This window comes from Homo sapiens, chromosome 15, assembly GCF_000001405.40.
Source record: "Homo sapiens chromosome 15, GRCh38.p14 Primary Assembly".
In the NCBI taxonomy this organism is placed as follows: domain Eukaryota; kingdom Metazoa; phylum Chordata; class Mammalia; order Primates; family Hominidae; genus Homo; species Homo sapiens.
In genome coordinates, this window is record NC_000015.10 from 40755285 (window position 1) to 40783023 (window position 27739).

The following is a 27739-nucleotide window of genomic DNA, read 5'->3' on the forward strand; positions in this document are numbered from 1 at the left end:
CGCCCTGCGGGAAGGCGCAGAGAGATGACCGCGCCGGCCCCGCCCCTTGTCTGTTTCCCTCAGGGGCGGGGCCACGGGCGCCGCCGGAGGGGCGGAGTCAGCACAGAGCGCGAAAGGAAAGCAAGAAGGGGCCCAAGACAGGGGAAAGGCGGGAAGGCAGGGAGACTTCTTGGGCGGACGCTCGCGCAGTCACCCTCACCGTCCGGCAGCCAGGCCTCCATTTCCCTCCGGTCACACCGGCTTAACTTGCTGCTCCCGGAATACGCTCAGCATATTCACACTTTCTACCTGCGCTTCTGCCTGGACCTCCCCTCTGTACCTGGAAAACGTCACGCTCTCCCCACATTTTATTTTTATTTTTATTTTGTAGAGACTGGGTCCCGCTCTCCTGGTCTCTCAAAGTGCGATCCGCCCGCCTCGGGCTCCCAAAGTGCGTGAGCCGCCGCACCCGGCCATAAATCTTAAACCTAACGTGCTGTCTTATAATTCTGTTTTACTCTTGTAATTGTATGCAACTTCTTATAATTGTGGCAACTAAAAAGACCGATTTTATGGACTATGATAACAATTTTATTGTGAACATTTCTTAAGAGTTAAAATTTAGTTTAGTGAAAGAAATATCTAGGCCAGTCCTCCCAATACCCTTGACTAGATCTTATATTTATTTACCCTTTAATTGTGAGATATTGTATACATATAAGAATACAGGAGGCCGGCCGTGGTGGCACGTGACTGTAGTCACAGATACTCTGGGGGCTGAGATGGGAGGATCACTTGAGCCCAGGTCGTCGAGGCTGCAGTGAGCCATGATCACTCTGGGCAACAGAAGTCAGGATATCGAGGCCACCCAGGCCAACCTGGCGAAACTCCGTCTCTACTAAAAGTACAAAAATTAGCTGGGCATGGTGGTGCACGCCTGTAATCCCAGCTACTCGGGAGGCTGAGGCAGGAGAATTGCTTGAACCCAGGAGGCAGAGGTTGCAGTGAGCCGAGATCTCGCCACTGTACTCCAGCTTGGGCAACAGAGTGAGGCCTCCTCTCAAAACAAATAAACAAAAACAACAACAACAAAAAATATATTTATATATATATAAAGTATATATATATATATACACTTTATTTTGGAGGAAATAAAAATTTCCTCTGGAAACCTTCCCAGATCACCACCTTGGTGAAATTAAGCTTTTCACCCTGCTTTGCTCCTGTGGCTCTATTGCCTCCATTATACTTTTTTTTTTTTTTTAGACGGAGTTTCGCTCTTTTCGCCCATGCTGGAATGCAGTGGTGCGATCTCGGCTCACTGCAACCTCCTCCCCCGCCCCTGGGTTCAAGCAATTCTCCTGCCTCAGCCTCCGGAGTAGCTGGAATTACAGGCTTGCACCCCCACGCCTGGCTACTTTTTGTATTTTCAGTAGATACCGGATTTCTACATGTTGGTCAGGCTGGTCTCGAACTCCTCACCTCAAGTAATCTGCTTGCCTCAGTCTCCCAAAGTGCTGGGATTACAGGCGTGAGCCACCGCACCAGACCCATTACACTCTGTTCTGTGATTATTTGCTTTCTACTCTGTCTACACCACTGGACTGCCCACTCTTCCAGGATGGGGTTCACTCCTGATTCATCCCAGGTCCCCTGTGCCTGGCACAGCTCTAATGCAAAAGCATCCATAAAAGCTGAATGGAGGAAGGAAGAAAAGAAGGCGTGACCGACAGCACGCCCTGCCACTTTGACAGTGTGTTCTCAGCTGTGGCAGAAAACTCAGTGGCAGAACAATAATTTCTCCTCTCTACGGGGGGGAGGCAGCTCTGTGAGATAAACGGATTGTGATGAGAGGCTAGGCCAAATGGGCAGACCAAGCAGGGGAATTCATTTCCCCCTGGATATTAAAGATGTTATCTGGCAGGCACGTGTCTGCCAGGGCAATCAGCAGTGTGGTGGGTGGCTCTGGACAGAGCTCTTTATCTTGTGCTGCATCTGCAGACTAGCTTTGCAAATGTAATAAAGGCCTGGCTGCCTGAGATATGCACTGCCCACCTTCCCACCCCCTCCACAGCCCAGCCTGAGAAGAGAGCAGACCAGACCCCAAACTGTTGTCCTGCCCTCTGCCCAGAACATCTGCCTCATCTACCCCGGCTCTTCCAAGAGAGGTGACAAGTCAAATGCCTTGGGATGGTGGCCTTACCCTTGTGTATAATGTTTAAGGTTCTTGATGCCTTAAAAAATAATTCTTTCTCTAGGCCAGGCACGGTGGCTCCCGCCTGTAATCCCAGCACTTTAGGAGGCCTAGTTAGGTGGATCACGAGGTCAGGAGTTCAAGACCAGCCTGGCCAATATGGTGAAACCCCATCTCTACTAAAAAATACAAAAATTGGCTGGGTACGGTGGCTCATGCCTGCAATCCCAGCACTTTGGGAGGCCGAGGTGGGTGGATCATGAGGTCAGGAGTTCGAGACCAGCCTGGCCAACATGGGGAAACCCTGTCTCTTCTAAAAATACAAAAAAAAATTAGCCAGGCGTGCCATGATCTCAGCTCACTGCAACCTCTGCCTTCCAGGCTCAAAATATCCTCCCACCTCAGCCGGGGGTGGAACTACAGGCACATGCCGCCATGCCCAGCTAATTTTTTACTTTTTTTGTAGAGACAGGGTCTCCCTGTATTCCCCAGGCTGGTCTTAAACTCCTGGGCTCGGACAATCCTCCTGCCTCGGCCTCCTAAAATGCTGGGATTACAGGCATGAGCCACCATGCCCAGCCCTTTTAGAAATATATATATATAATTTTTTTTTTTGAGACAGGGTCTTGTTCTGCCATTCAGGCTGGAGTGCAGTGGCACAATCACCACTCACTGTAGCTTTGAACTCCTGGGCTCAAGCTATCCTCCTACCTCAGCCTCCCGAGGAGCTGAGACTGCTGGTGTGTGCTGCCATGCATGGCTAATTTTTCAGTAGAGACAGAGTCTCACTATGTTGTCCAAACTGGTCTCAAACTCCTGAGCTCAGGCGATCCTTCTGCCTTGGCGTTCCAAAGCACTGGGATCACGGGCATGAGCCACCATGCCCAGCCAGAAACTTTCTTTTTTGTAGAAATGGGAGTCTCACTGTGTTCCGCAGACTGGTCTCAAAATCCTGGGCTCAAGCAGTCCTCCTGCCTTGGCCTCCCCGAGTGTTGGGACTTACAGGTGTGAACCACCCAACCTAGCTCAAAAACTTTTAGTCTAATTTTGATAGATATAAGGGCTGTTTCCAGTTTTTTACTGGTTACAGTGCTGCTGTGAACATTCTTGTACATGTATCCTGATGGCTGTGAGTTTTCCTGAGGTTTATTTAGGAGAGGTTTGGCTGCGTCACAGGGTATCATTCACACCAACTTGCAAGCCCAACAGTAGTGGGATTGTTGACATCTTCACCAACACTTGATATTTACAGATTTTAACATTTTAAATTTATTTATTTATTTTATTTTTTGCTAACCTGTAAAGCACTATCTCACTGCAGATTTAAAATGTAGCTTATGGCCGGGTGCGGTGGCTCATGCCTGTAATCCCAGCATTTTGGGAGGCCGAGGCGGATGGATCACGAGGTCAGGAGATCGAGACCATCCTGGCTAACATAGTGAAACCCCATGTCTACTAAAAATACAAAACAATTAGCCGGGCGTGGTGGCGGGCGCCTGTAGTCCCAGCTACTCGGGAGGCTGAGGCAGGAGAATGGTGTGAACCCAGGAGGCAGAGCTTGCAGTGAGCCGAGATCACACTACTGCACTCCAGCCTGGGCAACAGAGCAAGACTCCGTCTCAATTAAAAAAAAAAATGTAGCTTAGGCTGGGCACAGTGGCTCATGCCTGTAATCCCAGTACTTTGGGAGGCGAAGGCAGGAGGATTGTTTGAGGCCAAGAGTTGGACACCAGCCTGGGCAACACAGTGAGACTGTCTCTACAAAAAATTAAAAAAAAAAAAATTAACTGGGGATGGTGGCATGTGGGAGGTGAGGTGGGAGGATGCCTCAAGTCCAGGAGCTCAAGGTTACAGTGAGCTTTGATCACACCACTGCACTCCAGCCTGGGTGACAGAGCAAGACCCTGTCTCTTAAAAAAAAGAAAAAAAGTAATTTAGTCTTCTGTACTCCTGGTGTTGCTTATGTGCTTGTTTGGTTGGATCTGGTACTGTTACCGCAACATGACCTCAATTCTTTTTTTTTTTTGAAATGGAATCTCACTTTGTTGCCCAGTGTGATCTGGGCTCACTGCAACCTCCACCTCCAGGGTTCAAGTGATTCTTGTGCCTTAGCCTCCCAAACAGTTGGCACTACAGGCACACGCCACCATGCCCGGCTAATTTTTCTATTTTTATTTTATTTTTTTCAGACGGAGTCTTGCTCTGTCACCCAGGCTGGAGTGTAGTGGCTTGATCTTGGCTCACTGAAATCTCCACCTCCCAGGTTCAAGCGATTCTCCTGCCTCAGCCTCCCGAGTAGCTGGGACTACAGGCACCCGCCACCAGGCCCAACTAATTTTTTGTATTTTTTAATAGAGACAGGGTTTCGCTGGGCAGAGAGCAGCTGCCCAGGCTGGTCTGAACGCCTGACCTCAAGTGATCCACCCGCTTTGGCCTCCCAAAGTGCTGGGATTACAGGCATGCGTCACTGTGCACAGCCAAATTTTTGTATTTTTAGTAGAGACGGGTCTTCATCATGTTTGCCAGGGTGGTCTCTAACTCCCAGCCTCAGGTGATATGCATGTCTTGGACTCCCAAAGTGCTGGGACTACAGGCGGGGGCCACTGCGCTGGCCCTCAGTTCTTTCAGGAAGTCCCAAAACCTGTGAAATTAACCATCCTCCCAGCTGCGCTTGCTTACAGAAACAAAGGCCAGGTGCCAATAACCAGGAACCAGCCACAAGATGAACTGAACTCAGCAGTGCTGCCTTGACCTGAGTTACTGCTTCACTGCTATACTAAAATCTCCACTCAGTGCGGAGAAATGTACCTTGCTAAGCACAAACAGTGCCAGGTGCAAAAAGAATCTACACACTCCAGCTGCTCCTGGAAGAACCCATCCAGGAATCCCTACCCCAGTCTTCACCTATCTGCCCAAAAAACCCTTAAGATCCCCCTTTACCCAATGTCCAGGGAGCAGGTGCTTTGAGCAGAAGCTCCCCTTTTCCATTCTTGACCAATGAACGTTTCTGCTCTGCTTTACTGAACCTGGTTTCATTTTATTGGTAAGAACTGCACTGGACGGGTCAAGCGACCCTCCCTTGAGGGCGGTAACAGTACCTGCTTTGTGAAGCAGCAGCTGCAGAGATTCTGGTGCTTGCCATGGCCATGGAAGCTCAAGGAAGAAGTTAAGACTGAGAACAACGATCATATTTGTTTGAAGGTGGTGTGGCAGGATAGTTCTGTGGCGCAGTTTAAGAGGCATACACTGCCTAGTAAACTGATGAGAGCCTATTGTGAATAACAGGATTTGTCAATGAGGCAGATCAGATTCGGATTTGATGGGCAGTCAATCAATGAAACAGACATACCTGCACAGTTGGTAATGGAGGATGAATACACAATTGACGTTTTCCTGCAGGAGACAGGTGTCTACTAAAAAAGGAACCTACTACTTTACTCCAAACCTCTGTTCTTACAGACCAAGATTACATCCTCAATTAGAAAACTGCAATTTGGTTCCACTACATCCCGACCAATATAGTATAGTTTTATTTCATTTTCACCTTCCCCTTTCCTTTGCTGTACATACAGTAATGGGTATGTGTGCACCAGCGTATTGCATTTGTGTTTTTGTTTGTTTTTTTGTAAAATGGCCAATGGTGTGTTCTGATTGACATCAGGTGGAGATGGGACTGGGAAAAATACTGCTTCTGTGAAAATACCCCCTTTCTCCATTCTTGGCATGCTCATTCAGCTCTTATCTTTTTTTCATATATTTATTTTAGATGAAGTCTTGCTCTGTTGCCCAGGCTGGAGTGCAGTGGTGTAATCTTGGCCCACTGCAGCCTCCGCCTGCCAGGTTCAAGCGGGACTACAGGCATGTGCTACCACATCTGACTTTTTTTTTTTTTTGAGACAGAGTCTCACTCAGTCACCCAGGCTGAAGTGCAGTGGCATGATCTCAGCTCACTGCAACCTCTGCCTCCTTGGTTCAAGCGATTCTCCTGCCTCAGCCTCCCGAGTAGCTGGGACTACAGGTGTGTGCCACCACGCCCAGCTAATTTTTGTATTTTCAGTAGGACAGGGTTTCACCATGTTAGCCAAGCTGGTCTCGAACTCCTGAACTCAAGTGATCCACCCACCTCGGCCTCCCAAAGTGCTGGGATTACAGGCATGAGCCACCGTGCCCGGCTCAGCTCTTGTCTCTATATTCCAGTGAGTTATATTTTGCTCTGTTTTAACTAAAAAATGACAACATAAAAATCCTTCCATACTTTATTCAACTGAAGAATTTTAATGTTTTTCATTTATCATTGTAAAAACCAAGGACAATTGTATAACTTAAAAAAATCCTTCTAATCAGTGGATGATTTTTGTACATAGCTTTCACATGTAGGGTAATCTGTCTTTAAGTAGGGATAAATTACTTAAAAATAAACCAAATCATGGCTCACTGCAGCCTCAACCTTCTGGGCTCAAGCGATCCTCCCACCTTGGCCTCCCAAAGTGCTTAGATTACAGGCGTGAGCCACTGTGTCTACAAAGTCTTGGGGTTTAAATAAATTTGGTTAAAATGAAAAAAAGTAAAATTGACTTTAATTTGTATTTCCTGTATTTCTAATGATATACTAGGCATCATGTTATATGTTTATTGGTCATTTCTATTTCCTCTTTTGTGAAGGGCCTATTCAAGTCAGTTACCCCTGTTTTTTCCATTGTTCATCTTTTTCTCACTGAGTTGTAGGAGCTCCTGGGCATCAATCTTTTGTTAGTTTTTTTTTTTTTTTTTTTTTTTGAGACGAAGTATTGCTCTGCCCCAGGCTGGAGTGCAGTGGCCCAACCAATCTCGGCTCACTGCAAGCTCCGCCTCCCAGGTTCACGCCATTCTCCTGCCTCAGCCTCCCGAGTAGCTGGAACTACAGGCGGCCCCCACCACGCCCGGCTAATTTTTTGTACTTTTAGTAGAGACGGGGTTTCACTGTGTTAAGCCAGGATGGTCTCGATTTCCTGACCTCGTGATCCGCCCGCCTCGGCCTCCCAAAGTTCTGGGATTAGCAGCGTGAGCCACCGCGCCCGGCCCTTTCGTCAGTTTTAACACATCCTTTGTTAAGCATGAATGTGTTTTATCTCTCTGGCTAACTTGTTAGGTCAGTGGGTAAGAGGGCAGGGGTAGGAACTACAGAATAATAAATTAGACCAGTTAAGGAACGTTTAGGATTACAACTTCCTGCTTCCCTTATAGCTCTCTCCACGTCTGTCAAAGTGTTGGAACGGCAGCATCCCCTATAAAGGCCCCTCTTAAAAAGTGAAGATTATTACCCTCCCATGGGAGGGAAGGCTACCTACAGGCTGTTTTTGTTTTGCTTTATTTTCTAGAAAACCAATCACAGGCCGGATGCGGTGGCTCACGCCTGTAATCCCAGCTCTTTGGGAGGCCAAGGCGGGTGGATCACCTGAGGTCGGGAGTTCGCCACCAGCCTGACCAAAATGGAGAAACGCCGTCTCTACTAAAAATACAAAATTAGCCGGGCGTCGTGGCGCAGGCCTGTAATCCCAGCTACTCAGGAGGCTGAGGCAGGATAATCGCTTGAACCTGGGAGGCGGAGATTGCGGTGAGCGGAGATCGCGCCATTGCGCTCCGGCCTGGACAATAAGAGCGAAACTCCATGTCCAAAAAAAAAAAAAAAAAAGAAAAGAAAAAAGAAAACCAATCACAACAAGGCAGATAAAGAAGGATGAGTTGTCAGATTTTGATAACTGCGGATGAGGGGCGTGGACACACGGTTGGGAACTCGCAGCCGCTCATTGGTGGCTGGTGCGGGGGAAGTTGTTTCATTTGCCCCAGGTGTTGCCCAGTGACCTCCTGCGCGTGCGCCGCGTCTGTCCAGCTGCGCGGGAAGCTCAGGGGAGGGAAGGCCAGGTTCCATCCATTCAGTCACTCCAGACCTGGCACCCAGCCAAGCGCGCGGTTCCTTTACAGACTTTCCTGCGGGTCCACAGAAATGCAAGGATCCGCCTCTGTGCTGGAATTAGAGTCTGGGAGGGGGAATGCACAGTGCGCCCTGGGTGGTATTTTAGTTGTCGCCTTCAGGGCTAGCTCCGAGCCTCGTGCCCCGGCCTCCTCAGCGCTTAAGGAATCTCTGGAGCGCATGTCTTGGCGAGGGGAAGTGGGGCCCCGTTGAAGCTGTCGAGGCGTCTCTGAGAGGGGTGGGCTGGGGCCTGGAGAGGCCTCCGTGAGGACGCCGTTTGCTCTGGGCTCTGCCTGGCAGGGGACTTTGGAACCTGGCCTGAAGTGTTCAAGAAGCGGGCGCGGGGGCAACACGCGCGCGGGGACGCAGTAAGATCACAGGCTGCAAAGAAAACAGCACTAAGCGTCCTGGAGGACGCTGGAGCTTCAGGATAGTGTCCTTCCAGGTCGTGGGACCGCCCCCTCCTCCCCGCACTCCACCTTCCCGCAACTGGATCACTCGGCGGAAGCCTCAGGTGGGCCCCGGGGTCCAAGTCCGCCGCCGGGAGGGCGGGGGCGGGCCCCGAACCGCCGACTGCAGGGCGCGTCACGGCAGCCGCTCCTGATTGGCGGCCACGGCGGTCACGGGCAAGGTGCCCCGGGATTGACGCCGCCTGTGGCCAGAGCCGGAGTAACGGGACTCCCAGCTGCGCGTCGCAGTCCCGACGCGAGAAGGGCTGGAGTCGGCGTCCAGCCTAGAGCCCCCGGTGGGAGCCAGGCCGGGACGCGTGCACCATGCCCTACCTGCTCATCAGCACCCAGATCCGCATGGTGAGTACCGGCCGCCTGGCGACTTGGAGCCGGGACCAGGCCCTAGGGGGCTGCGACTGCACCTTCATGCCTCCCTCCTGGGCTGCACCCACCGGGGACTGGACCGGGAACCCGCCCAGACACGCCCCCTTGGCCGGGGAGAGGGAGTGGAGAAGCGGGCTCAGCTCGGCTTCCGGGACTCAGCGAGCTCTGGCCGGCCTGAAGCCTTTATTGCCGCGAAGGGGCCCGGGTACGTGCGTCCCGGCAACAGGGCGACCTCCGGGCGCTTCCGGCTCCTGTCCTACCTGTCGGCGGGAGAGACCCAGGGAGCCCTGGCCTCACGCGCAGCACCTAGTGCCCTGCACAGAGCCGCTCCGCAGGGGAAAAAAGGGCGAATAACCTGAGAGAAAGAGGTTTGGAAAAGATAAGGACCTGCCAAGGCGCTAAAACCCCGGTGCCAAGTCCTTGACCCATAAACAGCAACTAGCTGCACCCTTAGGCACTTCCAGGAAGGGCTATCCCTGAAGCTTTAGGGAAGGAAGAAAAGAAAGAACACCCTGCTTGGAAAAAAGGAAGGCGAGAAGGGGCTGTGCAGTTAGAGGTGGGAACACCATGAGTTAGAAGTCACGTTCCTTTCTCTGGGCGCAGTTTCCTTATCTGTAAAAAGGTTCTGATTGCCCCTCAGGAGTCCCCTTTTAGCTTCAGAAAGACATGACGGGCAGCAAGGTGCTCTCTGCCCTTGCTCACTGCCCAGTGCTGGGGTGAACCAGCAAAGGGTACACAACCCCCTTGGTGGGTTCACCACGCAACAGAGAGCTCTTGCAGAGCCCTGGGCAGCGGTTTGTGAAGCAGCCATCTGCTCAGCTGCCAAAATGTGGATTCCTGGGTCCCTTCCCAGACCTCCTAAAACTCTGTCTGGGGCTTGGGAACCCATACTTGGAAATGGCCCCCCAAAGTGATTCTTATTTCTTAAAAGATATGGCTTTATTGATATGTAATGTGCATACCATAAATTCTTTGATTTAAAGTGTACAATTCAGTGTTGTTGTTTCTTTAGTGTACTCAGAGTTGTGCAACCATCACCATAATCAGTTTTAGAACATTTCTAATACCCCAAAAGGAAACCCTGTACCCACTGGCAGACACTCTTGATTTCCCCCAAGTCCCTCAGCCCTAGATAACCACTAATTACCTTTCTGTGGTAATGTGATCTGAGTCTGGCTTCTTTCATTTACATGTTTATTTTGTTTTGTTTTTTTGAAATGGAGTCTCACTCTGTCACCCAGGCTGGAGTGCAGTGGTGCAATCATGGCTCACTGCAGCCTCAAACTCCTCCCACCTCAAGCGATCCTCCCACCTCAGCCTCAGTAGCTGGAACTATAGGCTCGTGATACTTTGCCTGGCTAAAGCTGAGCTTTAAGGCACTAGGGAGGGCGCCTACATTGCTCCTCCTGATCATTGATGGGCTCCACCCCTTCACAGCTTGTGCTCAGCCCCTAAGAATCCTTGCTACTCTCTGTAGCCTTTACCTGAACCTTACTCAGGGCTAGCAGGCAGGGGAGGAAGGACAGGCAAGACCTTCCACCTCCTCCTGGCAGCCAGCCAAGCAGCCACTGTGGCTTACCTTGCAGGAGGTGGGCCCCACTATGGTGGGCGATGAACAGTCGGATCCAGAGCTGATGCAGCATCTGGGGGCTTCAAAGAGAAGAGCCTTGGGAAACAACTTGTAAGTAGCAGCCTCCCTCAGTATCCTCTCCCTGCCAGCCCCTAGACCTGCCTCTGCTCCCTTTATACAACCTCCAAGCCCAGGGACAGGGCCCAGCATCAGAGCCCCCTGCCTGCATCCTGGGGCTCTGTTCTCCGGAGGAGTTGGTCCCATCTGTAGCCTCTCCAACATCCCCCCTCTCCCCCACGAGGCTTGCTCTGAAAGCTTTCCACATCCTTACTGGAACCGCAGAAACAGAGTCCGTTCCCTGGGTCTAGGACTCCACTAGCAGACTGTTCCTTGCCCTGCCCTCTCCTAAGCTGGACCCCATCAAGGACAGACAGGCACAGAGAGAAAGGTTTTTGTCGTGAGGATCTGCATGAGTCGCAAAGCTAAGCCCTAGAAGCAGGGAGCAGGGAGCCTGCGTCCTACCTCCAGGGTGGCTGCTGCCTGGGGACCTAGCCATTTCCCTTGGCATTCTTCCTAATGCCTCCATGTCTAAACTGTGACTACTGCTTCCATTCCTCCTCTCACCCCTGGAGGCAGGGAGAACCCAAGCTACACAGGCTCTCTGAAAAGAGTTGTCAGAGTGAGTGCCAGTTCAAATCGGGGAAAGAGGAGGGCTGATCCCAGCCCCTGGGTCAAGGCTCGGGGACAGAAGCCAGCCCCCTCCCTTTGCCATGAGGCACTTGCCTCTCCATGCCCAGCTTGGGGCTTGAGCCCTTTGTCTGCTTCATGGTCTTTCAGCATCAATTAAACCTGACAGAAGGACTACCAGCACTCTCCATGCTAGGGAGTGGCGCACAGAGCCAGGAGCTACTGGGGCTCAGCCTTGTTGCTACAGAACTGCAGGACAGCCAGGGCAGTGAGGGGCCTGGAGGCTTATTTTTTTTTGAAATGGAGTCTCTGTCGCCCAGGCTGGAGTGCGGTGGTGCAATCATGGCTCACTGCAGCCTCAGCCTCCTCCTACCTGGAAGCCTGGGTGGGGAGCAAGCCCAGGGAGGGCGGCAGCAGGGCTGTGGTCAGACTAACATGGTCTACCATCTGGGACGCTGGGGAACCTGATTAACCCCTCTGTTTTCTCATCTATCAATGGCCACAACAGTGGCACCTTCACTAGCTTGTTGGGAAGAATAAATGAGATAGCTCGTGAAGTACCTAGAAGGGGAGGAGGCAGGGGGCGTGCACTTACCCCAGCGCCCAGCAAGCAGCCAGCAAGTGTGAGTCACTACAAGAGTGGCCAGGCTGCCTGCTGCAGACACTAGCTTTGTACCAGGAGCTTGCTGTGTGCCCCTCCTCACCCCCCCCATCCTGTCTCTTTGCAGTTATGAATACTACGTCGATGACCCTCCCCGCATAGTCCTGGACAAGCTGGAACGCAGGGGCTTCCGTGTGCTGAGCATGACGGGGGTGGGCCAGACGCTGGTGTGGTGTCTGCACAAGGAGTGACCTTCTCATGCTGATTTGCAGACGGGGCACCCCTGTGGAGGGGCTGCTGTGGGCCCTGACCTCCAAGCTCCTGCCTCACCGTCTGCCTTGCTCCTCTCTTCCCAAATCATCACCGCCATGGGCCCAGCCCCAAAGGGCAGTGAATGGCCTTCTCTGAAACCCTGCGTCAAGCAGTGGGAGAGGGCAGTGCCCGGTGCCCTGGTGCTCCCAGCTGCCCTCCTGCTTCGGGCCTGGGCCGAGGGCCTTGTGTAGGCCATGTTCCTCGGGCAGCTGCCCCGGGCCGGAGCTGGGCACTCCAGCGGCCCTGGCGCGTGGCTCCTGCATAGCTAGCCCAAGCCAATAAAGGGCTGTGATGAGTGGCTGCGCCTGTGCTCTGCTTGTGCACGGACTCTGGGACTCTCACCCTGCGGAGCGTTTCCCTGGGGGTCTGCCCACTTCCTGGGAGGGGCGCCAGGCCTGGGTGGAGCGCTCTGCGGCAGAGCCCAGCACCTTATACCTATGTATGGGATAGAGGTAAAATCTTAAAAAAAAAAAAAATTTATTGGTGACGTTGAAGAAAAGGGCTGAGGGGTGGATGGCTGGAGCTGGGGCTACGTAGGCGGCCCCTCCTGGTCTTCCTGCTGCATCCGTGCGATCAGCTGTTGCCGCTCGGCCGCCTGGCGCATGCGCATCATGACGAGGCTCTCGTAGTCCCTCTCTGACAGCACTGAGCCCTGTCGGACAGGGCAGGGACAGGGAGGGGTCAGGGACAGCAGGGCACAGCCTCACAGACTCCGAGTACGGTGCCGAGGCAGTGCTGCGTTCTAAGAGTCTCGGAGGGAGGACGGCAGAGGAAGGGAAGGAACCCGGAGCATCCTTTTGGAATCCTGGCTCGCCTGTGTCCCCCAGAACACGCCACCTTTGGCCTCCAGGCCGGCTTCTACCCAGCCAGCTCCCCCTCCCTTTCCCCAGGCCGCGTCAGCTCCGGTCCATCTGTTTCTCAGGAATCACCTGCGGGCCCTCTAAGCCAGGCCCTCGTCTCCCTTCATTTCCTCTGGGCCCTTTACCCTTCACCCCTTTCCCTCTACCCCGTAGCTTCTGCCTCTTAGGTTCCCAAGGAAGGGAAGTTGTCTGAGGAGCAGGGATGCACTTGGCTCTGCTGGGCACTGACCCTGGCACTCTCTATGCCCGGTGCCCTGTGGTCTGGCTCTTGCTGAGGATGCAGAAGGGAGCCCTACCCGAGGCAGCCCGGAATGCCCCACCCTCGAAGGGGAAAAAGGCAAGCATGAGGCCAGCGTGCCTCTAAAACTACACACCAGGGCTCCTGGAGGGCAGGGCCCATAATCAAAAGAATAATAAACAACCATCTGAATGGGCCAAGGCTGTAGGGTGGAGAAGCAGCTCTACAGCGGGACCTAAGCTGCCAACCCACGCCCTGATAAGGTCTGCGGTGGGAATTAAACCTTTTCCTCCCTCGGTGCCGCTTAGGCTGTGTGATGATCATGTGGTCCCAACAGCTTCTCAGAGAAGTGTGAAGCACACCTGAGTTGGCACAGAAGTGAGCTAGGCCAGGGATTGCAAGATGCGGTGGCCTGCCCGTAGCAGAGAGCTGTGGGGCCCTGATCCGCGGTACCCCGCATGGGGACGCTGTCACAGAGCAAGGCAGGAGGAAAATGTGGTGGTCAGTGACCCGGGGAATAGGAAGGGAGCAGCTAGGGTTGAGATGCCAGGCCCTGGCCAGCAGGTTTGGAGTAAGGGGTGTAGAGAAACAGGAAGTGTTACTCAGCCTGGGTTCCCCTGTTCCTCCCGATGGCTGCACCCCTCCCCTCTCCCCGGCTGCAGCAGTCCCAGCTAGGCCGGACTGCTAAGCCTGGCCCAGAGCACGGCTGACAATTCACGGCAGCCTCCCTGGCCCAGCCTCCTGCAAGAGAAGGAGGACCCCAGAGGAAGCCCGGTAGCCAGAGGGGAAGGGCTGGAGCACAGCCAGGTAGGAGGCAACACGGCCCGGCCTTCAGCAGCCGCTCTCCTGGCAGGAGCCCTCTAGGGTAAAACAAGGGAGGACAAGGAAATAGCAGCCAGGCTGATGGCAGGCCAAGAGGAGGCCACATCTCCCATCCCCAGGTTAATGCTGCTCTGCCAAGAAAACTTGGAGCCACCCTTGGCGGGCCCCCAGCCCAACCCTGGGCAGCAGAGCCCGCCCATCACAGGCATGGCGCTGCTCCCCATTAACACACCCTCTGCCCCCCTTCCTGTTCCTGCTCGTGAGGGCCTGACAGCGGGGCTGAGTCACCCATACCAGCTACAGGTCTCTTCCTTCCCCAACAATCGTTCCACACGCCTGCCTTTCAATTAACTCCCACCCGCCCCGAACTCTTCCTACCCAGACACTGTGGGCAGGGAGCCAGGCGCACCTGCTGGGGGCCCAGGGTGGTGGGGCTGTGATCAGAAAGGAAGCCGCGTGGTGACACATAAAGCAGGGCTGCCCCCACACGAGTCCCCAGAGGAATCTTAAGCTCCCCATTGCCCTGGGGTGTTGGTCCCAGCTGCCCCATCCCTGCACGCGGATGCTGCAATTACCCAAGAGCACGAAACCTGGCTTCCCACCTGACTGAGTCAGCTGAGAACAAAAACACATCTCCACCGCCACAAACAGCCAGGCCACTCATCAGAGTCCGGGAGCCACTGGCAGAGAGGGCACGGCCCCACACTGCCCCAGAGACATATAGGAGCCAGGCAAACACCAGGGCGAGTGAGCTCGGGCCATCTGCTGCCTGCCTGTGGAAGGAGCGCTCGCCAGCCTCACCCAGCCCGAGAAGGTCCACCTCTGCCTCCGCCGGAGCTGCCCTCATTCTGGCTCCAGTAAGTGCTGCTTCTTCCTCCTGGGTTTTTTTCCACTACCCTATTCAGTAACCAGGCCACTCCTGTCCCTGTGGGAAACTCTTGCTGCCAGGAACTCCCAGCTGTCTGCTCTCCTGGGCAAAAAAGTTCCTTCTTCCTGAGCCCTCCTCTCACCATCCAAGATGTGGTCAAAGGTCTGTGCTGAGTGGAAACCCTGAGGCCTCTGCTCCTAGGGGAGCCTCCCCAGCTGCTGGCACTCACTGCCCCAGCAGGGACCACATGCACCCTGGCTGCTCCTGAACACCTGTCTGCTGGCTCCCCTGGGCCCCATGGAGACCTGGCGGAAAGGCTCCTTCCGCAACGCCTCCTTCTTCAAGCAGCTGAGCCTGGGGCGGCCACGGCGGCTCCGGCGACAGAGTAGTGTGCTTAGCCAGGCCAGCACAGCAGGTGGGGACCACGAGGAGTACAGCAACCGAGAAGTCATCCGGGAGCTACAAGGGAGGCCAGATGGCCGGCGCCTGCCACTGTGGGGGGACGAGCAGCCCCGGGCCACCCTGCTGGCCCCACCCAAGCCCCCACGCCTCTACCGAGAGAGCTCAAGCTGCCCCAACATCCTGGAGCCCCCACCTGCCTACACAGCAGCCTACTCTGCCACCCTGCCATCGGCGCTCTCTCTGTCGAGTGCCCTCCACCAGCACTCAGAGAAGGGCCTTGTGGACACTCCCTGCTTCCAGAGGACACCTACCCCAGACCTCAGTGATCCCTTCCTCTCCTTCAAAGTGGACCTGGGGATTTCACTTCTTGAGGAAGTTCTGCAGATGCTAAGGGAGCAGTTTCCTAGCGAGCCCAGCTTCTAAATGGGGTGAGGGTGGGCAAAGCCGGGGTGACTGGAAGATCCAGAGGCTGGGGATTAAGGAAAGGACAGGGACAGGACTCCAGGCCCATCGCTGGAGGGTTCAGGCAGGCAGAGCTTCTTCATCCTGGGGGAGGATTCCAGGATAGGAATCCAGGGCTCTGCCTGCTCTCTGGGTCCTGGACAGTCCTTCCAGGCACCCCAGAGTGGAGGGACAGAGGCAATCTGGAAATGTTGGGGGGGCGGCCCTTCCTGGCAGGACCCTGAAGAAAGCTGGCTATGCCGGGAAAGGGAGGCTGTGCCGGGAAAGGGAGGCTCTGTGCGGCACTACAGGAACCAGGTAGAGGCTGGCAGAGCCAGAAGGTGGCACGGGGTCAGATCAGGGAGTGGGAGGACACAGACTGAGCAGAAGAGATGAGTGCCCCATGCCAGCCTCTTTGGAAGCCACTGTCAACAGAGAGAGGTCACAGGACAAGCTTGGGTAAAGGCAGTCCAACCCAGGCAGAAGAGGAAAGTGGGAAGGCCCAGGAAGAAAGGGGAGAAGGCCTGACCCTGTCTAATCTGGTGGCCACTCACTGCATGACACTGAATTGAAATAAATAAAATTAACAGTTCAGTTCCTCAGCTGCACCGTTATTCCAGATTCCACATTCCAAATGCCCGGTGGCCACACATGATTAATGGCTACCACACTGGTCAGTGCAGAATGGACGTAAACATCGCTGCACAAAGTTCTAATGGACAGCGCTGTCTAGACCATGGCCTGGAGCCACCAGCAAAGGGGAGGCGCATACAGGGGCTGGCCACATAGGAAGAGATAGGTAGAGATAGAGTATAACTCAGGAAAAAGACCAGGCAAATCCTTAGCAGAAATGAGGACGTGGCTCAGTCTGCCAACACAGCTACCCGGAGCAATCCCTGGTGAAGGAAGGCAGCTCTAGAGAATGCCAGCCACAGGCACGCGCACGGCTTGCAAAGGGGTACTTTGGGGAATTCCCAGAATTACTAGTGATGGGAGCCCTGGCAGGTTTCCTTCCTCGAAGAGAGGAGAACTGGATCCAGGGATGGGCATTCAACAGCGAAGCGGCACAGCTGGTTTCCAGAACCGTCTCCCGGGATTAGACAGTTCTGCCGCCTGAACCCTCCGACGATGGGCCTGCCAACCAGGCCAAGCCCACTGGGTCAAAGCCACAGGCTGTGCTACGGCCCCACCCCATGGCCTCACCAGAACACAGAAACCAGAGCCCAGCAGCACTGGCTGGGCCATGTGTTGGTGGCCCCCCGGGACTCGCTAAGAGTAGCAAAGGGGAGAGGGAAGCTCTGACACACACCATTTCTACGACCTAAATCAGTGGCCTCCCTCTTTCCTCCTCTTGTGTATAGGTACCGAGCTGTGGATACAGGAGAGAATGAATAAAATTCTAACACAATCTATGGAGTGTTATCTGGGGCTGTGAAATGCTGGGACTTGAAGGTGGGAATGAGGTCTCTAAAGCAGGGCCCTGAGTCAGGCCCAGGCCAGTTTGTTTCCCTCCATCCAGGATCTGGGACACACTTGCAGAAAGCTGCTTTCCAGTCACCCCAGTCAAGTGGAGGGGCAGGCAACGGAGCAGGCTGGCGTGGGTAAAGTAATGAGAGCAGCCTCCTGCCAGCCTGCTGAGGGGCTGTGGACACACCAGACAGGCCCTGGGCCACTGCAGAGAAGGGAAGAACCAGGTTGCTAGATCTTGCCCCCAAAGCAATCTGTTCCACCAAGGTGGGGACAGGTGTGGCCAGGAGCCCCACAGCCCTAGCCTTTGTATCCAGGCCAAAAGACACCAGGGCCATGGTTGCAGGTTGGGGGTTACACACAAGCTGGAAGGTCTACGCTTCACCCAGGCAGGGCACCCAGACTCTGGGCAGGCACCACCCCGTGTCAGCAGGGTAGCCAGAGTTCCTTCTTTTTTTTTTTTTTTTTTTGAGATGAAGTCTTGCTCTGTTGCCCAGGCTAGAGTGCAATGGCACGATCTCGGCTCACTGCAACCTCTGCCTCCCTGGTTCAAGCGATTCTCCTGCCTCAGCCTCCTGAGTAGCTGGGATTACAGGTGCGCACCATCATGCCCAGCTGATTTTTGTGTTTTTGTAGAGACGGGATTTCACTATGTTGGTCAGGCTAGTCTTCAACTCCTGACCTCAGGTGATCCGCCCCCCTCGGCCTCCCAAAGTGCTGGGATTAACGGCATGAGCCACTGCGCCCAGCCTGCCAGGGTTACTTCAAGAGGAGATATTGCCTCTTGACAGTCGGTCCCTTTCTGGGGCAGCCAGAGACACATCCAGAAAACTGAAGTGCTGGGAAGGAAGTGGCTGTCCTAGTCACCTGCCCCTTCTCTGCAGCACTGGGTCGTCTAAGCTCCAAATGCTTCACACACCACAACCAAGCAACCTGAGGGCCAGGAAGATCCCTTTGGTGAGAAGGAGAGTCCCAACAGGAGGCCAGATATGGAGAGAAAGCAAGGTCTAAGAATACAGTGTGGGTGGGGCCTCTCTGGCCCTCAGAGAGGAAAAGGGTTCAACGTGAAATCACAGCCCCTCTTGCCTGGGTTGGTGGACCTGCCAAGCTCACTCTAGGCCCCAAGATCTGAATTTGGAAGGAAAGAGCCTGAGAGGAGCCCAGGTAGGAAGAGCTCCGAGACCTGAGCGCCCAGCCGGGCGAGGCCTGACTCCTCACCTTTGACAGTCCTGAGTGGCTGCGGCCCACGGCATCCTGGGGCTGTCCCTCCAACCAGGAAATCTTCAGAGGGTTATCCACCAGGCCAACTTCATTCTGGACAGCCAGCTCCTGCCAAACACAGCATCTAGTCCTGTCCCATCCGTTGAGTCAGCTATAAAGAGGCTCTCTCTACCCCCACAGAGAGAACGGAACCAGCGTTCTAGCCCTCTAAGCAGAGATGCCAACCTCAGCAGCCTTCAAGTGATGGGTGTTAACGCTTTGGCCTTTCCTGCGGGAGAGGGGTTGGGGGAGCTTTCTGATGTGGGGAGGCGAGGAGCACAAAGGGTGGGAAGGCAGTGCTGGGGCTCACAGCCCCAAGGGGTGCAGGTGGAGGGTGTGAAGGCACCAGCAGGGAGCAGAGTCAAGTCTGTGCTCTCCTTTCTCCCCAGAGCACCCCCCATCCATCCCTTCACACACGGTGCCTCTATTTCCAGGAGTCAGGGGCCCCTGGGAAGAGCCTTGGCTCTAAGCTGGCCTGGAGATTCCCTAGGAGTGCAGACCACCTAACTCAGAGGGCCCACAGAATTGGGTCCCTGCCCTAGAATGACAGGGCCACGAGGGGCCCCCAAGCCTCATGCAGCACTCACCGCTGCCTTGACGGTTGCAAACTCCACCACAGCAGTGCCTGGCTTCTTACTGGAAAGCACCAGGTTGAGAACCTCACCATACTGTGGGGACAAAGGGGTCCTAATAAGCATGACTTGGCCTTCAGGATGGCCCAGGTCATGCCAGAGACAAGCCTGGGCTACCTTGAGGCCCATGGGGCATTTTCAGTTGGGAGATAACTTCTTGCCCCACCTACTTATCTTAGTGAAGTGAGATCAGAGATAGGAAAGAAAGAAATTTTTTTCTAGGAACACAGAGCAGCAAAGGAATGATGAGCAAAGCCCTGGTGACTTAGACTGACACATTTCATTGCATAGCGTCCTTGCTAGTTGAACGTGGTGAAAAGGACGGGGCTTTCGTGCCAGATACGCACCTCGTCCCTCCCAACCCACTCAACCAAGCTCTTTGCTTCTAAGGGTAAGGGTTAGACCGAGGTAGCAAAGGACAGCGGGCTGGAAGGGGGCACATGGCCACACAAGTGAAAGCAAGGCTGTAGCCTGGGGAGAAGTCTCTAAGACGTCCCATGGTCTATGAGACAGAAAAAAAAAGCAAGTAGATATGTTAAGGGAAGTTCAGGCATTGAGAGCAGAGACCTAGGGTGTGGACTGAGACGTGGACTGAGATGATAGGAAAGAGTGGACGTCAACAGGGCCGACCTTCTGCAAAAGCCGTAGGAGGACGTCTTTGGAGTAGCCACCTTTTGACTCATCCTCCTTCTTGCACTTCCATTTTAGCTGAAAAGAGAGCCTCATGAAACACTGATTCTTGGCTGAACAGTACCTCACCCCACGACTGAGCTTGACAGTCTGAGCAGACATCCTCCCACCCTCCAAGCCTCCAAGGCTCCTGCAATCTGGGGAGTGCCACCAGAAACATTTTCCCCTTGGGAACTTGAAGGCAGGATGGCCTGCTCACCCCAGGGACGCTTCCCGCCCAGAAGACCCTCTCCTGAGAGGGCTTCTAGAGAATCCTCTGCCCTGTGATCAGGGCTAAAAGCAGCCTTTCGTGGCAAGCTCTGATCTCCGGGCGGCTGGAGCATGGAGGGAGGTGGTAATGGTGCGGGCTCCACGCAGATCCAGCAGCCCCACCAGAAACCCTCGAGCCACAGGAAGCATCTATTCCTGCTGAGGGGAGGCGGTGTGAGTGTGAGGTGGCCCACAGATCCTGCCCAGGCTCACCTTTAGTTTGGGGGTTCCTTGGCCTTCAGTATTTTCTGCCTTTCCTAGAAATATTGGGAAAAGAAGAAAAGTAGAATATGAGGGAGTCAGAGATTCTCCCAAAGGAAATGCAGCCCAGAGCAAGAAGGGTCTGGAAAGGGTCACTCCTGACCAAGGGCAATGCCTGCCCAGCTCTGGTGAGGGCCTGGTGGGGAAAGCAGATGCCCATCCCCAGAGAAGCTGCCACCCCAGGGGTGGTCTACCCAGCTGCCTCCTGAAGGCCACTTGTCAGCACTCTCTGAATGGAGAGCTAGGAACACTTTCTAGGGACAGGAGGCAGAGAGACAGACCATGAGGTTCTACGGGCACAAAGTGTCCCAGGGCCCCTCCCCGTGGTGATCTGTCCCAAAACAAGGCCACCTCTGCTTGGGACAAAGCCAAATGTGGCCAGGAGATCTCAGGCAGAGTAAAAAGCAAATAGGCCCCAGAGAACTGGGAGGAAGACGGGATAAGTGGCATGTGTCAGAGTAAGGTACCATAGGGTGACCCCAGGGTTCCAGCAGGTAGAAGCCTCCACAGCAGCTCCACCGAACAGCCAGTGTGGCCGCTCTGAGCAATCTGGAGCTACCTTGGAGGGGAGATAGGCGGGGTGATAGACCTGCACCTCTCAACCTCTGGTCACGCTCCTGGCGTATCTGCTCCCGGATGAGCCTCTGCTGTTCCTCCAGCTGCCGGGAACCCTCTTCTCTCAGGCGTTCGATCTGCAGAGCAGGGGGTGGGGGTGACAATTCTGTGCAGGTCCAATTCCAGGCTGGCTCACCTTGTAAAAAGTCCTTGGGAGCTTCCACCTGCAAGCTAGGGCTCAGCAACCTGTGGGTGGGACAAATCACCCAGCTCCCACTGAAGGTGCAAAGAGCATGCCCTCTCTAGCCACGGCGACCACCAGGTCCATCCTCCCCCACCTCCTCCTCCTGCAGGTGGCCTTCTGGCCAGTGTGCCTGAGTGCTCACCTCTTGCTCTAGTGTCCTGGTGCTCCGGCTCTCCTCTTCCTCCTCACTCTCCTGGGCCTGGGCCTGCCGCTCCCGGGCCTCCAGGTCTAGACACAAGGGTTGAATGACCAGACTGCTGGTCTGTTCAGTTTCCATGTGGCCTCGGCCCACCCCAGCTCTGGCTGCCTCCCCAAAGTCTCAATCACGACGAGATCATACAGTAACTCTGCCCCCTCCCTCCATGCCCACGCCCCCGAGTCAATTTCCATTGAGAAAAATCACAGCACAGAAGTATGGGGTCTAGCAGAGTGGCCAGGGGTCTGGAAGAGTTAAAAACAGCTCACACTGACCAAGCTGGTTCTCTCTAGTGAACAGGGTGTGGGTGGTGCTTATGTCAGCAGCCCAGGGCCATGTGTCAGGGGTGCCAATGGGCGGAGCTGCTGGGCTCGATTCCTGTGGTTTGGCACCACAGCTTGACTTGCTTTGGCTTTGATTCTTTTCACACACTGAGCTCAGGTTCTCACTGTCTCCTTTACCTCCCACCTCAACTCACATTTACCAAGCCTCACTGTGGACCTGGCTACAGGGATGGGCAGAGTGTTAGGGCATCACCCCGGGTCCTGGATTGTGTGAGGGCGTTACCTTCCAAGAGAAACCTGCTTGCAACCATGTGCCAGGCCAGCTGCTGTGAGAAACCCTTCTCTTAGTCCAGAGAAGTTTGTGCACTTTACTTACTTAGACTCTCCTTTTCTCTCTCTCTCTTTTTTTTTTTTTTTTTTTGAGATGGGGTCTCCTGGCACTTGCTTTTCTTTTAATATAGAAATAGATATTGGGATGCTATATGCACATATTAAAATATATGGATGTTGAAGAGCAAGAGGAAAAGGAGAAACTTGAGTAAAGAATGCTTGGACTGGGCCAGGCGCGGTGGCTCACGCCTGTAATCCCAGCACTTTGGGAGGCCAAGAGGGGTGGATCACCTGAGGTCAGGAGTTCGAGACCAGCCTGGCCAATGTGGCAAAACTCCGTCTCTACTAAAAATACAAAAATTAGCCGGGTGTGGTGGTGCGCAACTTAGTCCCAGCTACTCGGGAGGCTGAGGCAGGAGAATCGCTTGAACCCAGGAGGCAGAGGTTGAAGTGAGCCGAGATCGTGCCACTGCACTCCAGCCTGGGCAACAAGAGCGAAACTCCGTTTAAGAAAAAAAAAAAAAGAGTGCTTGGACCATGCTGCTATAACCAGTGACTTTTTTTTAAGTGAGAAAAAAAAAATGCTTGCAGCAATCTTATTGGGTTGATGAAAATGTTCCAAATCTGATTTATAGTCAGAGTTGCATCATTTAGTAAATTTACGAAAAATCATTGAAGTGTACACTTGAAATGGGTTGATGTTGTGATATACAAAGAATACCTCAATAAAGCTATTAGAGAAGAGAAAGCCTGGACCTCTTTGAATCCTTCTGAGGGAGCTTCTCAAAGTGAAAAGTCTGGGTAGGAATTGGGGTTAGAACAAATTAAAAGACCCAGCCGGGCACAGCGGCTCGCACCTGTAGTCCCAGCTACTCAGGAGGCCAAGGCAGAAGGACTGCTTGAGCCCAGGAGTTTGAGGCTGCAGTGAGCCATGATGGTGCCACCCTAGCCTGGGTGACAGTACAAAACCCCGTCTTTCTTTAAAAAAAAAAAAAAGAAGAAGAAGACTCAGCCAGAAATGGTGAATACAAGCACCAATTTTTTTGTTTTGTTTTGTTTTTTGAGATGGAGTTTTGCTCTGTCACCCAGGCTAGAGCACAGCAGCGTGATCTCAGCTCACTGCAACCTCTGCCTCCCGGGTTCAAGCAATTCTCTGCCTCAACTTCTCGAGTAGTTGGGATTACAGGCACCCGCCACCACACCCAGCTAATTTTTGTATTTTTAGTAGAGAAGGGGTTTCACCATCTTGGCCAGGCTGGTCTCGAACTCCTGACGTCGTGATCCACCCGCCTCGGCCTCCCAAAGTGCTGGGATTACAGGCGTGAGCCACCGCGCCCGGCCACAAGCACCAATTTTACTCACACTGGATAAGTTTAAATCCCACCTCCAGCAAGCTCTTAAACTTTTGGTGCCTTAGCTCCTTTGCCTATAAAAAATGGCTTCAGAGGCCAGGTGCGGCAGCTCACCAGCTGTAATACCAGCACTTTGGGAGACTGAGGTGGATAGCTTGAGGCCAGGAGTTTAAGACCAGCCTGGCCAACATGGTGAAACTCCATCTCTAAAAAAACGGAACAAAATTAGCCGGGCGTAGTGGTGCATGCCTGTAGTCCCACTATCGTGAGGCTGAGGCACAAGAATCGCCTGAACCCAGAGGGTGGGGGTTGCAGTGAGCCGAGATCATGCCACTGCGCTCCAGCCTAGGTGACAGGGTGAGACCCTGTCTCAAAAAACCATGTTCTTAAAAAAGGTTTAGTACCCACACTTCCTTGTATAGTTATGATAATTAAAGGGACAATAAGGCATTTGTCACAATGCTTAGCTAATATTAAACCTTATTATTGTTATTATTCCTAAGAGTGTCTTTAGGAACCAACCTCTAAGAACAGCGTTTTGCCCAGAGCCTGAGCCAAAAGGCTTTGAGATGAGTTGCTGGAAGTGAAGCTTCAGGTGAGGGAGATGAATGAAAATGACCACAGGAAACCACAGGCCACCGAGCACTATGATGGCACCTACCAAGCTTCACTTTCTTCCTTTTCTCATCAAGTTTCTGGGTCCTCTCTGCTGCTTGCTTCTTGGCTTTCCTGACCTTGTCATATGCAGCCTGGCAGGAGAAAGGGGCACAGGGCAGAGGGTCAGTGAGAGAGTAAAGACAGAGCCCCGGCAATCTGCCTGGCCCCTAGCCCACGAGCCATCAGAGTGGCAGCCTGGTGACTGGGTCTCCTGGGCTTAGACAGCAAGGACTGTGCCACATGGCAAAGGGCAGAGGACCGAGGTTGAGAGGCAGCAGTGGTCTCTAACCATGGGGGACGATTCCGATGAAGGAGGCTGTGCTTACCCTGGCTGCAGCATCGGTCAGCACCTCCAAGGCCTGAGAAAGCTGGTGGAAGAGTTCAGCTAAACATAAGGATCAAAAAGACAGAAGAAAAATAAAGTTAAGACTTCGTAATGGTGTGCTCCCTCAAAAAAAAAAAAAATCTTCAAAGAAGTCACAGGATGGCAGACAAGCCGACATCAGCAGATGACAGACCAACAAGGAGGGGTGAGCATATCAGCAACTGACCAGACACCCCTCACAGGAGGGAAGCCCTGGGACCCATTGCCTGGAGCCAGGCAATGTGTGCTTACACCCCACAGCACTCACATGCAGAGCTTACATCGGGAAACACAATGCCCGGGTGAGTGGGTTTCTTTCTCCCCACGCCCTGAGAAGAGTCTCACCTGCTCTGGGATTATCTGGATTTTTGTCTGGGTGGCAGGAGAGGGCCTTCTGCCTATACGCCTTCTTTACCTGGAAGAGTCAGACAGAAGACATGGCCATTCACTCTCATCCCAGGGACAAACAGGAAAACCTTGCTCAATGGGTAAGGGGAATCCCATGCACACCTAAAAGAGAAGCTGCTGGCGCCCACTTCCTAGCCACCAGGGAGACTGGCAATGGAGGAGGCCAAGGCCATGGAGGGAGTGAGCCACTGTCGCCCAGCACAGGAGCTGGGCCCACCTCCTGCTAAGTGCTCAACCTCACCACTGCAGATGTCCAGGGGCTGCTGCAACAGGCAGGAGCACAGTACCCCGCTTTCTCGACAGCCACTCGAAGACAGGTACTCTACACATTCTTGGTGGGCATATAAACTGGGGCAACCTATCTGGAAGAAAATTCAGCCATCAAAATTTAAAATGTTCTTTCCCTTTGACCCAAGTCCTAGGAATCTGGACTTGTAGAAGTATGGCAAAAATAAATATACAAGGATGCTCTCTACAACACTGTTGATACTAGCCAGCCAAGATCCCCATCAACGGGGAGACTCATTTAAAAGATTATGATTGGCCGGTGCGGTGGCTCACGCCTGTCATCCCAGCACTTTGGGAGGCTGAGGTGGACAGATCACCTGAGGTCAGGAGTTTGAGACCAGCCTCACTAACATAGTGAAACTCCATCTCTACTAAATATACAAAAATTAGCTAGGCATAGTGGCGGGCAGCTGTAATCCCAGCTACTTGGGAGGCTGAGGCAGGAGAATCGCTTGAACCGAGGAGGCGGAGGTTGCAGTGAGCCGAAATCGCACCACTACACTCCGGCCTGGCGACAGAGCAAGACTCTGTCTCAAATAAAATAAAATAAAATAAAATAAAAAATAAAATAAAAGATTATGATTGAGGCCGGACATGGTGGCTCACGCCTGTAATCACAGCACTTTGGGAGGCTGAGGCGGGTGGATCACTTGAGGTCAGGAGTAGGAGACCAGCCTGGCCAACATGGCGAAACCCCATCTCTACTAAAAATACAAAAATTAGCTGGGTGTGATGACATATTCCCCTGTAATCCCCCTACTTGGGAGGCTGAGGCATGAGAATCGCTTGATTCATGCAGGAGGCAGAGGTTGCAGTGAGCCAAGATTGTGCCACTACACTCCAGCCTGTGGGACAAGAGCGAGACTCCATCTCAGAAAAAAAAAAAAAAAAAAAAAGATTATGATTGGCCAGACATGGTGTAATCCTGTAATCCTGGCATGTAATCCTGTAATCCTCATGCCTGTAATCCTGGCACTTTGGGAGGCTGAGGTGGGCAGATCACTTGAGGTCAGGAGTTCGAGACCAGCCTCGCCAACAAAGCAAAACCCTGTCTCTATTAAAAATACAAAAATTAGCCGGGCATGGTGGCGTGCACCTGTAGACCCAGCTACTTGGGAGGCTGAGGCAGGAGAATCACTTGAGCCCCAGAGGCGGAGGTTGCAGTGAGCCGAGATCATGCCATTGTACTCTAGCCTGAGTGACAGAGGGAGACCTTGTCTCAAAAAAATAATAAAAAATAAATTTCAAAAAGTTTGTTCAGGAATTTGCCACGCTTATTAAAATTTTTTTTAAATAAAATATTATAGTAGACAGAGGTATCCATGTTCTGACATAGATCTTATTATAAACTTTTGAGTTTAGTCCAGGTGCGGTGGCTCAAGCCTGTAATCCCAGCACTTTGGGAGGCCGAGACAGGTGGATCACGAGGTCAGGAGATTGAGACCATCCCGGCTAACACGGTGAAACCCCGTCTCTACTAAAAATACAAAAAAATTAGCCAGGCATGGTGGCGGGCGCCTGTAGTCCCAGCTACTCGAGAGGCTGAGGCAGGAGAATCGCTTGAACCTGGGAGGCAGAGGTTGCAGTGAGCCGAGATCACACCATTGCACTGCAGCCTGGGAGACAGAATGAGACTCTGTCTCAAAAAAAAAAAATTTTTTTTTGTCAGGTGTGGTGGTGCATGCCTGTAGTCCCAGCTACTCAGGCGGTTGAGGCGAGAGGATCGCTTGAGCCCAGGAGTTCCAGCCAAGCCTGGGCAACATGGCAAGACCTCATCTCTACAAAAATTTTTTAAACATGAGCCAGGTGTGGTAGCATGTGCCTTTGTCCCCCTACTCAGGAGGCTGAGGTGGGAGGATCACTGGAGCCCGGGAGGTTGAAGCTGTAGTGAGCATGTTCACACCACTGCATTTCAGCCTAGGTGACAGAGTGAGACCTTGTCTCAAAAATAAAAATAAAAAAATTTTAAATTAAATTAAAATAAAATAAAAAATTAGCCAGGCATAGTGGTGCGTGCCTGCAGTACCAGCTACTAAGGAGGTTGAGGAGGGAGGATCACCTCAGCCAAGGATTTTGAGGCTGCCGTGAGCTATGATGATGCCACTGCACTCCAGCCTGGGTGACAGAGCAAGACTCTCTCTTAAATACATAGAAAGAAAGAAACCCCAATATTTCTTACATAAGTAAAAATAAACACAGCTACCAAGATTCTCTTTCGTGTGCTACCTAATAGCTGTTGTAAGTGAAGACAGTGTACACAACCCCAGAATCCGTCCTCTGCCTCCAAGGCCTTTGCTTTCTCCCTTCTGCTTGGTGTGTGTTACCTGCTGCTCAAACCTCCTGGAGGAAGAGCTAAGCAGATTGGATTTCTAAGCTTCCAAGATGGACGCAAGAAACGCTTCTACACCCAAGTGTGCTAAATAAGGACTTTCAGAGGTAAGCAGCCAGCATCCACAAGGTGAGCACCTGCTGGGCAACTCCTCCATCCATGAGGCAGCCACCGGGCCCAGGACCTCTAGGGGTGTGCTGCCACCTGCTGGGCCATAGCCAGGGCACCTGCCATGGCAGCCCAAGCTGTTTGGTTCTCCTGACTGCCTTGGAGGCAGCAGGAACCACCCAGGACAGGCGCTGGGCAGAGAGGGTGTAGACGTGCCACCTGCCTTCCCAATCGCCCACCGAAGCACATCTGCCCTGCCTGCTCACCTCCCACCCTAACCCTCCCTGCCTAGCTCTGTTTTCACTACA

The 27739-nt window shown here is 53.3% G+C and overlaps 3 protein-coding genes, 1 long non-coding RNA gene and 1 pseudogene across 5 annotated transcripts in view, besides 11 other annotated features; 3 read left to right on the plus strand and 2 right to left on the minus strand.

Annotated features, from left to right (window-relative positions):
* Positions 111-230: an enhancer, noted in NCBI's record as "active region_9260". NCBI's record gives its function as "activates an Ori minimal core promoter by ATAC-STARR-seq in GM12878 lymphoblastoid cells {active_cell/tissue: GM12878}" and the evidence as "EXISTENCE:reporter gene assay evidence [ECO:0000049][PMID:35858748]".
* Positions 321-430: an enhancer, noted in NCBI's record as "active region_9261". NCBI's record gives its function as "activates an Ori minimal core promoter by ATAC-STARR-seq in GM12878 lymphoblastoid cells {active_cell/tissue: GM12878}" and the evidence as "EXISTENCE:reporter gene assay evidence [ECO:0000049][PMID:35858748]".
* On the minus strand, positions 5190-5984 carry LOC124903474 (uncharacterized). The gene is made up of 2 exons (XR_007064599.1): positions 5523-5984; positions 5190-5442 (listed from the first exon to the last, which is right to left on the minus strand). It is a non-coding gene; the product is annotated as an uncharacterized LOC124903474 (long non-coding RNA).
* On the plus strand, positions 5313-5590 carry SUMO2P15 (SUMO2 pseudogene 15; annotated as a pseudogene).
* Positions 8348-8797: a silencer, noted in NCBI's record as "silent region_6341". NCBI's record gives its function as "represses an Ori minimal core promoter by ATAC-STARR-seq in GM12878 lymphoblastoid cells {active_cell/tissue: GM12878}" and the evidence as "EXISTENCE:reporter gene assay evidence [ECO:0000049][PMID:35858748]".
* Positions 8348-9329: a biological region, named in NCBI's record as "H3K27ac-H3K4me1 hESC enhancer GRCh37_chr15:41055946-41056811".
* Positions 8464-9329: an enhancer, noted in NCBI's record as "H3K27ac-H3K4me1 hESC enhancer chr15:41055946-41056811 (GRCh37/hg19 assembly coordinates)". NCBI's record gives its function as "activates a minimal SCP1, AML or CMV promoter by ChIP-STARR-seq in primed H9 embryonic stem cells {active_cell/tissue: H9 hESC(primed)}" and the evidence as "EXISTENCE:reporter gene assay evidence [ECO:0000049][PMID:30033119]".
* On the plus strand, positions 8784-12424 carry GCHFR (GTP cyclohydrolase I feedback regulator). Its single transcript, NM_005258.3, has 3 exons — positions 8784-8932; positions 10543-10637; positions 11942-12424. The coding sequence occupies exons 1-3, from the start codon at positions 8897-8899 to the stop codon at positions 12063-12065; spliced, it is 255 nt and encodes an 84-aa protein (NP_005249.1). The 5' UTR covers positions 8784-8896; the 3' UTR covers positions 12066-12424.
* The window catches only part of DNAJC17 (DnaJ heat shock protein family (Hsp40) member C17), a 42313-nt gene continuing 24450 nt past the window's right edge, over positions 9877-27739 (minus strand). The window contains exons 2-11 of one of the 2 annotated variants that reach the window (NM_018163.3): positions 24644-24713; positions 24261-24319; positions 23939-24026; positions 21258-21343; positions 20912-21008; positions 20269-20312; positions 19747-19824; positions 19072-19152; positions 18443-18553; positions 9877-12778 (exon numbers count right to left, since the gene is read on the minus strand). In NM_018163.3, coding sequence (NP_060633.1) covers positions 12656-12778; positions 18443-18553; positions 19072-19152; positions 19747-19824; positions 20269-20312; positions 20912-21008; positions 21258-21343; positions 23939-24026; positions 24261-24319; positions 24644-24713 — 837 coding nt within the window. In that variant the 3' untranslated portion in view covers positions 9877-12655. Of the gene's footprint in view, positions 12779-18442; positions 18554-19071; positions 19153-19683; positions 19825-20268; positions 20313-20911; positions 21009-21257; positions 21344-23938; positions 24027-24260; positions 24320-24643; positions 24714-27739 lie in introns of those variants that run through there. The other variant, XM_047432788.1, reaches the window with a different exon arrangement.
* Positions 10107-10896: an enhancer, noted in NCBI's record as "NANOG-H3K27ac-H3K4me1 hESC enhancer chr15:41057589-41058378 (GRCh37/hg19 assembly coordinates)". NCBI's record gives its function as "activates a minimal SCP1, AML or CMV promoter by ChIP-STARR-seq in primed H9 embryonic stem cells {active_cell/tissue: H9 hESC(primed)}" and the evidence as "EXISTENCE:reporter gene assay evidence [ECO:0000049][PMID:30033119]".
* Positions 13357-13975: an enhancer, noted in NCBI's record as "H3K4me1 hESC enhancer chr15:41060839-41061457 (GRCh37/hg19 assembly coordinates)". NCBI's record gives its function as "activates a minimal SCP1, AML or CMV promoter by ChIP-STARR-seq in naive H9 embryonic stem cells {active_cell/tissue: H9 hESC(naive)}" and the evidence as "EXISTENCE:reporter gene assay evidence [ECO:0000049][PMID:30033119]".
* Positions 14594-15212: an enhancer, noted in NCBI's record as "H3K4me1 hESC enhancer chr15:41062076-41062694 (GRCh37/hg19 assembly coordinates)". NCBI's record gives its function as "activates a minimal SCP1, AML or CMV promoter by ChIP-STARR-seq in naive H9 embryonic stem cells {active_cell/tissue: H9 hESC(naive)}" and the evidence as "EXISTENCE:reporter gene assay evidence [ECO:0000049][PMID:30033119]".
* Positions 14594-15255: a biological region, named in NCBI's record as "H3K4me1 hESC enhancer GRCh37_chr15:41062076-41062694".
* Positions 14696-17165, plus strand: C15orf62 (chromosome 15 open reading frame 62). Its single transcript, NM_001130448.3, has one exon. It carries the CDS (start codon positions 15212-15214, stop codon positions 15737-15739), a length of 528 nt encoding a protein of 175 aa, NP_001123920.1. The 5' UTR covers positions 14696-15211; the 3' UTR covers positions 15740-17165.
* Positions 15166-15255: an enhancer, noted in NCBI's record as "active region_9262". NCBI's record gives its function as "activates an Ori minimal core promoter by ATAC-STARR-seq in GM12878 lymphoblastoid cells {active_cell/tissue: GM12878}" and the evidence as "EXISTENCE:reporter gene assay evidence [ECO:0000049][PMID:35858748]".
* Positions 15213-15829: an enhancer, noted in NCBI's record as "H3K4me1 hESC enhancer chr15:41062695-41063311 (GRCh37/hg19 assembly coordinates)". NCBI's record gives its function as "activates a minimal SCP1, AML or CMV promoter by ChIP-STARR-seq in naive H9 embryonic stem cells {active_cell/tissue: H9 hESC(naive)}" and the evidence as "EXISTENCE:reporter gene assay evidence [ECO:0000049][PMID:30033119]".

Coding starts and splice junctions, on each gene's coding strand:
- C15orf62 (NM_001130448.3), top strand. CDS start 15,212: ATGGAGACCTGGCGGAAAGGCTCCTTCCGCAACGCCTCCTTCTTCAAG.
- GCHFR (NM_005258.3), top strand. CDS start 8,897: ATGCCCTACCTGCTCATCAGCACCCAGATCCGCATG. Junction 8,933..10,542: donor TCAGCACCCAGATCCGCATG/GTGAGTACCGGC, acceptor CTTACCTTGCAG/GAGGTGGGCCCCACTATGGT. Junction 10,638..11,941: donor AGAGCCTTGGGAAACAACTT/GTAAGTAGCAGC, acceptor GTCTCTTTGCAG/TTATGAATACTACGTCGATG.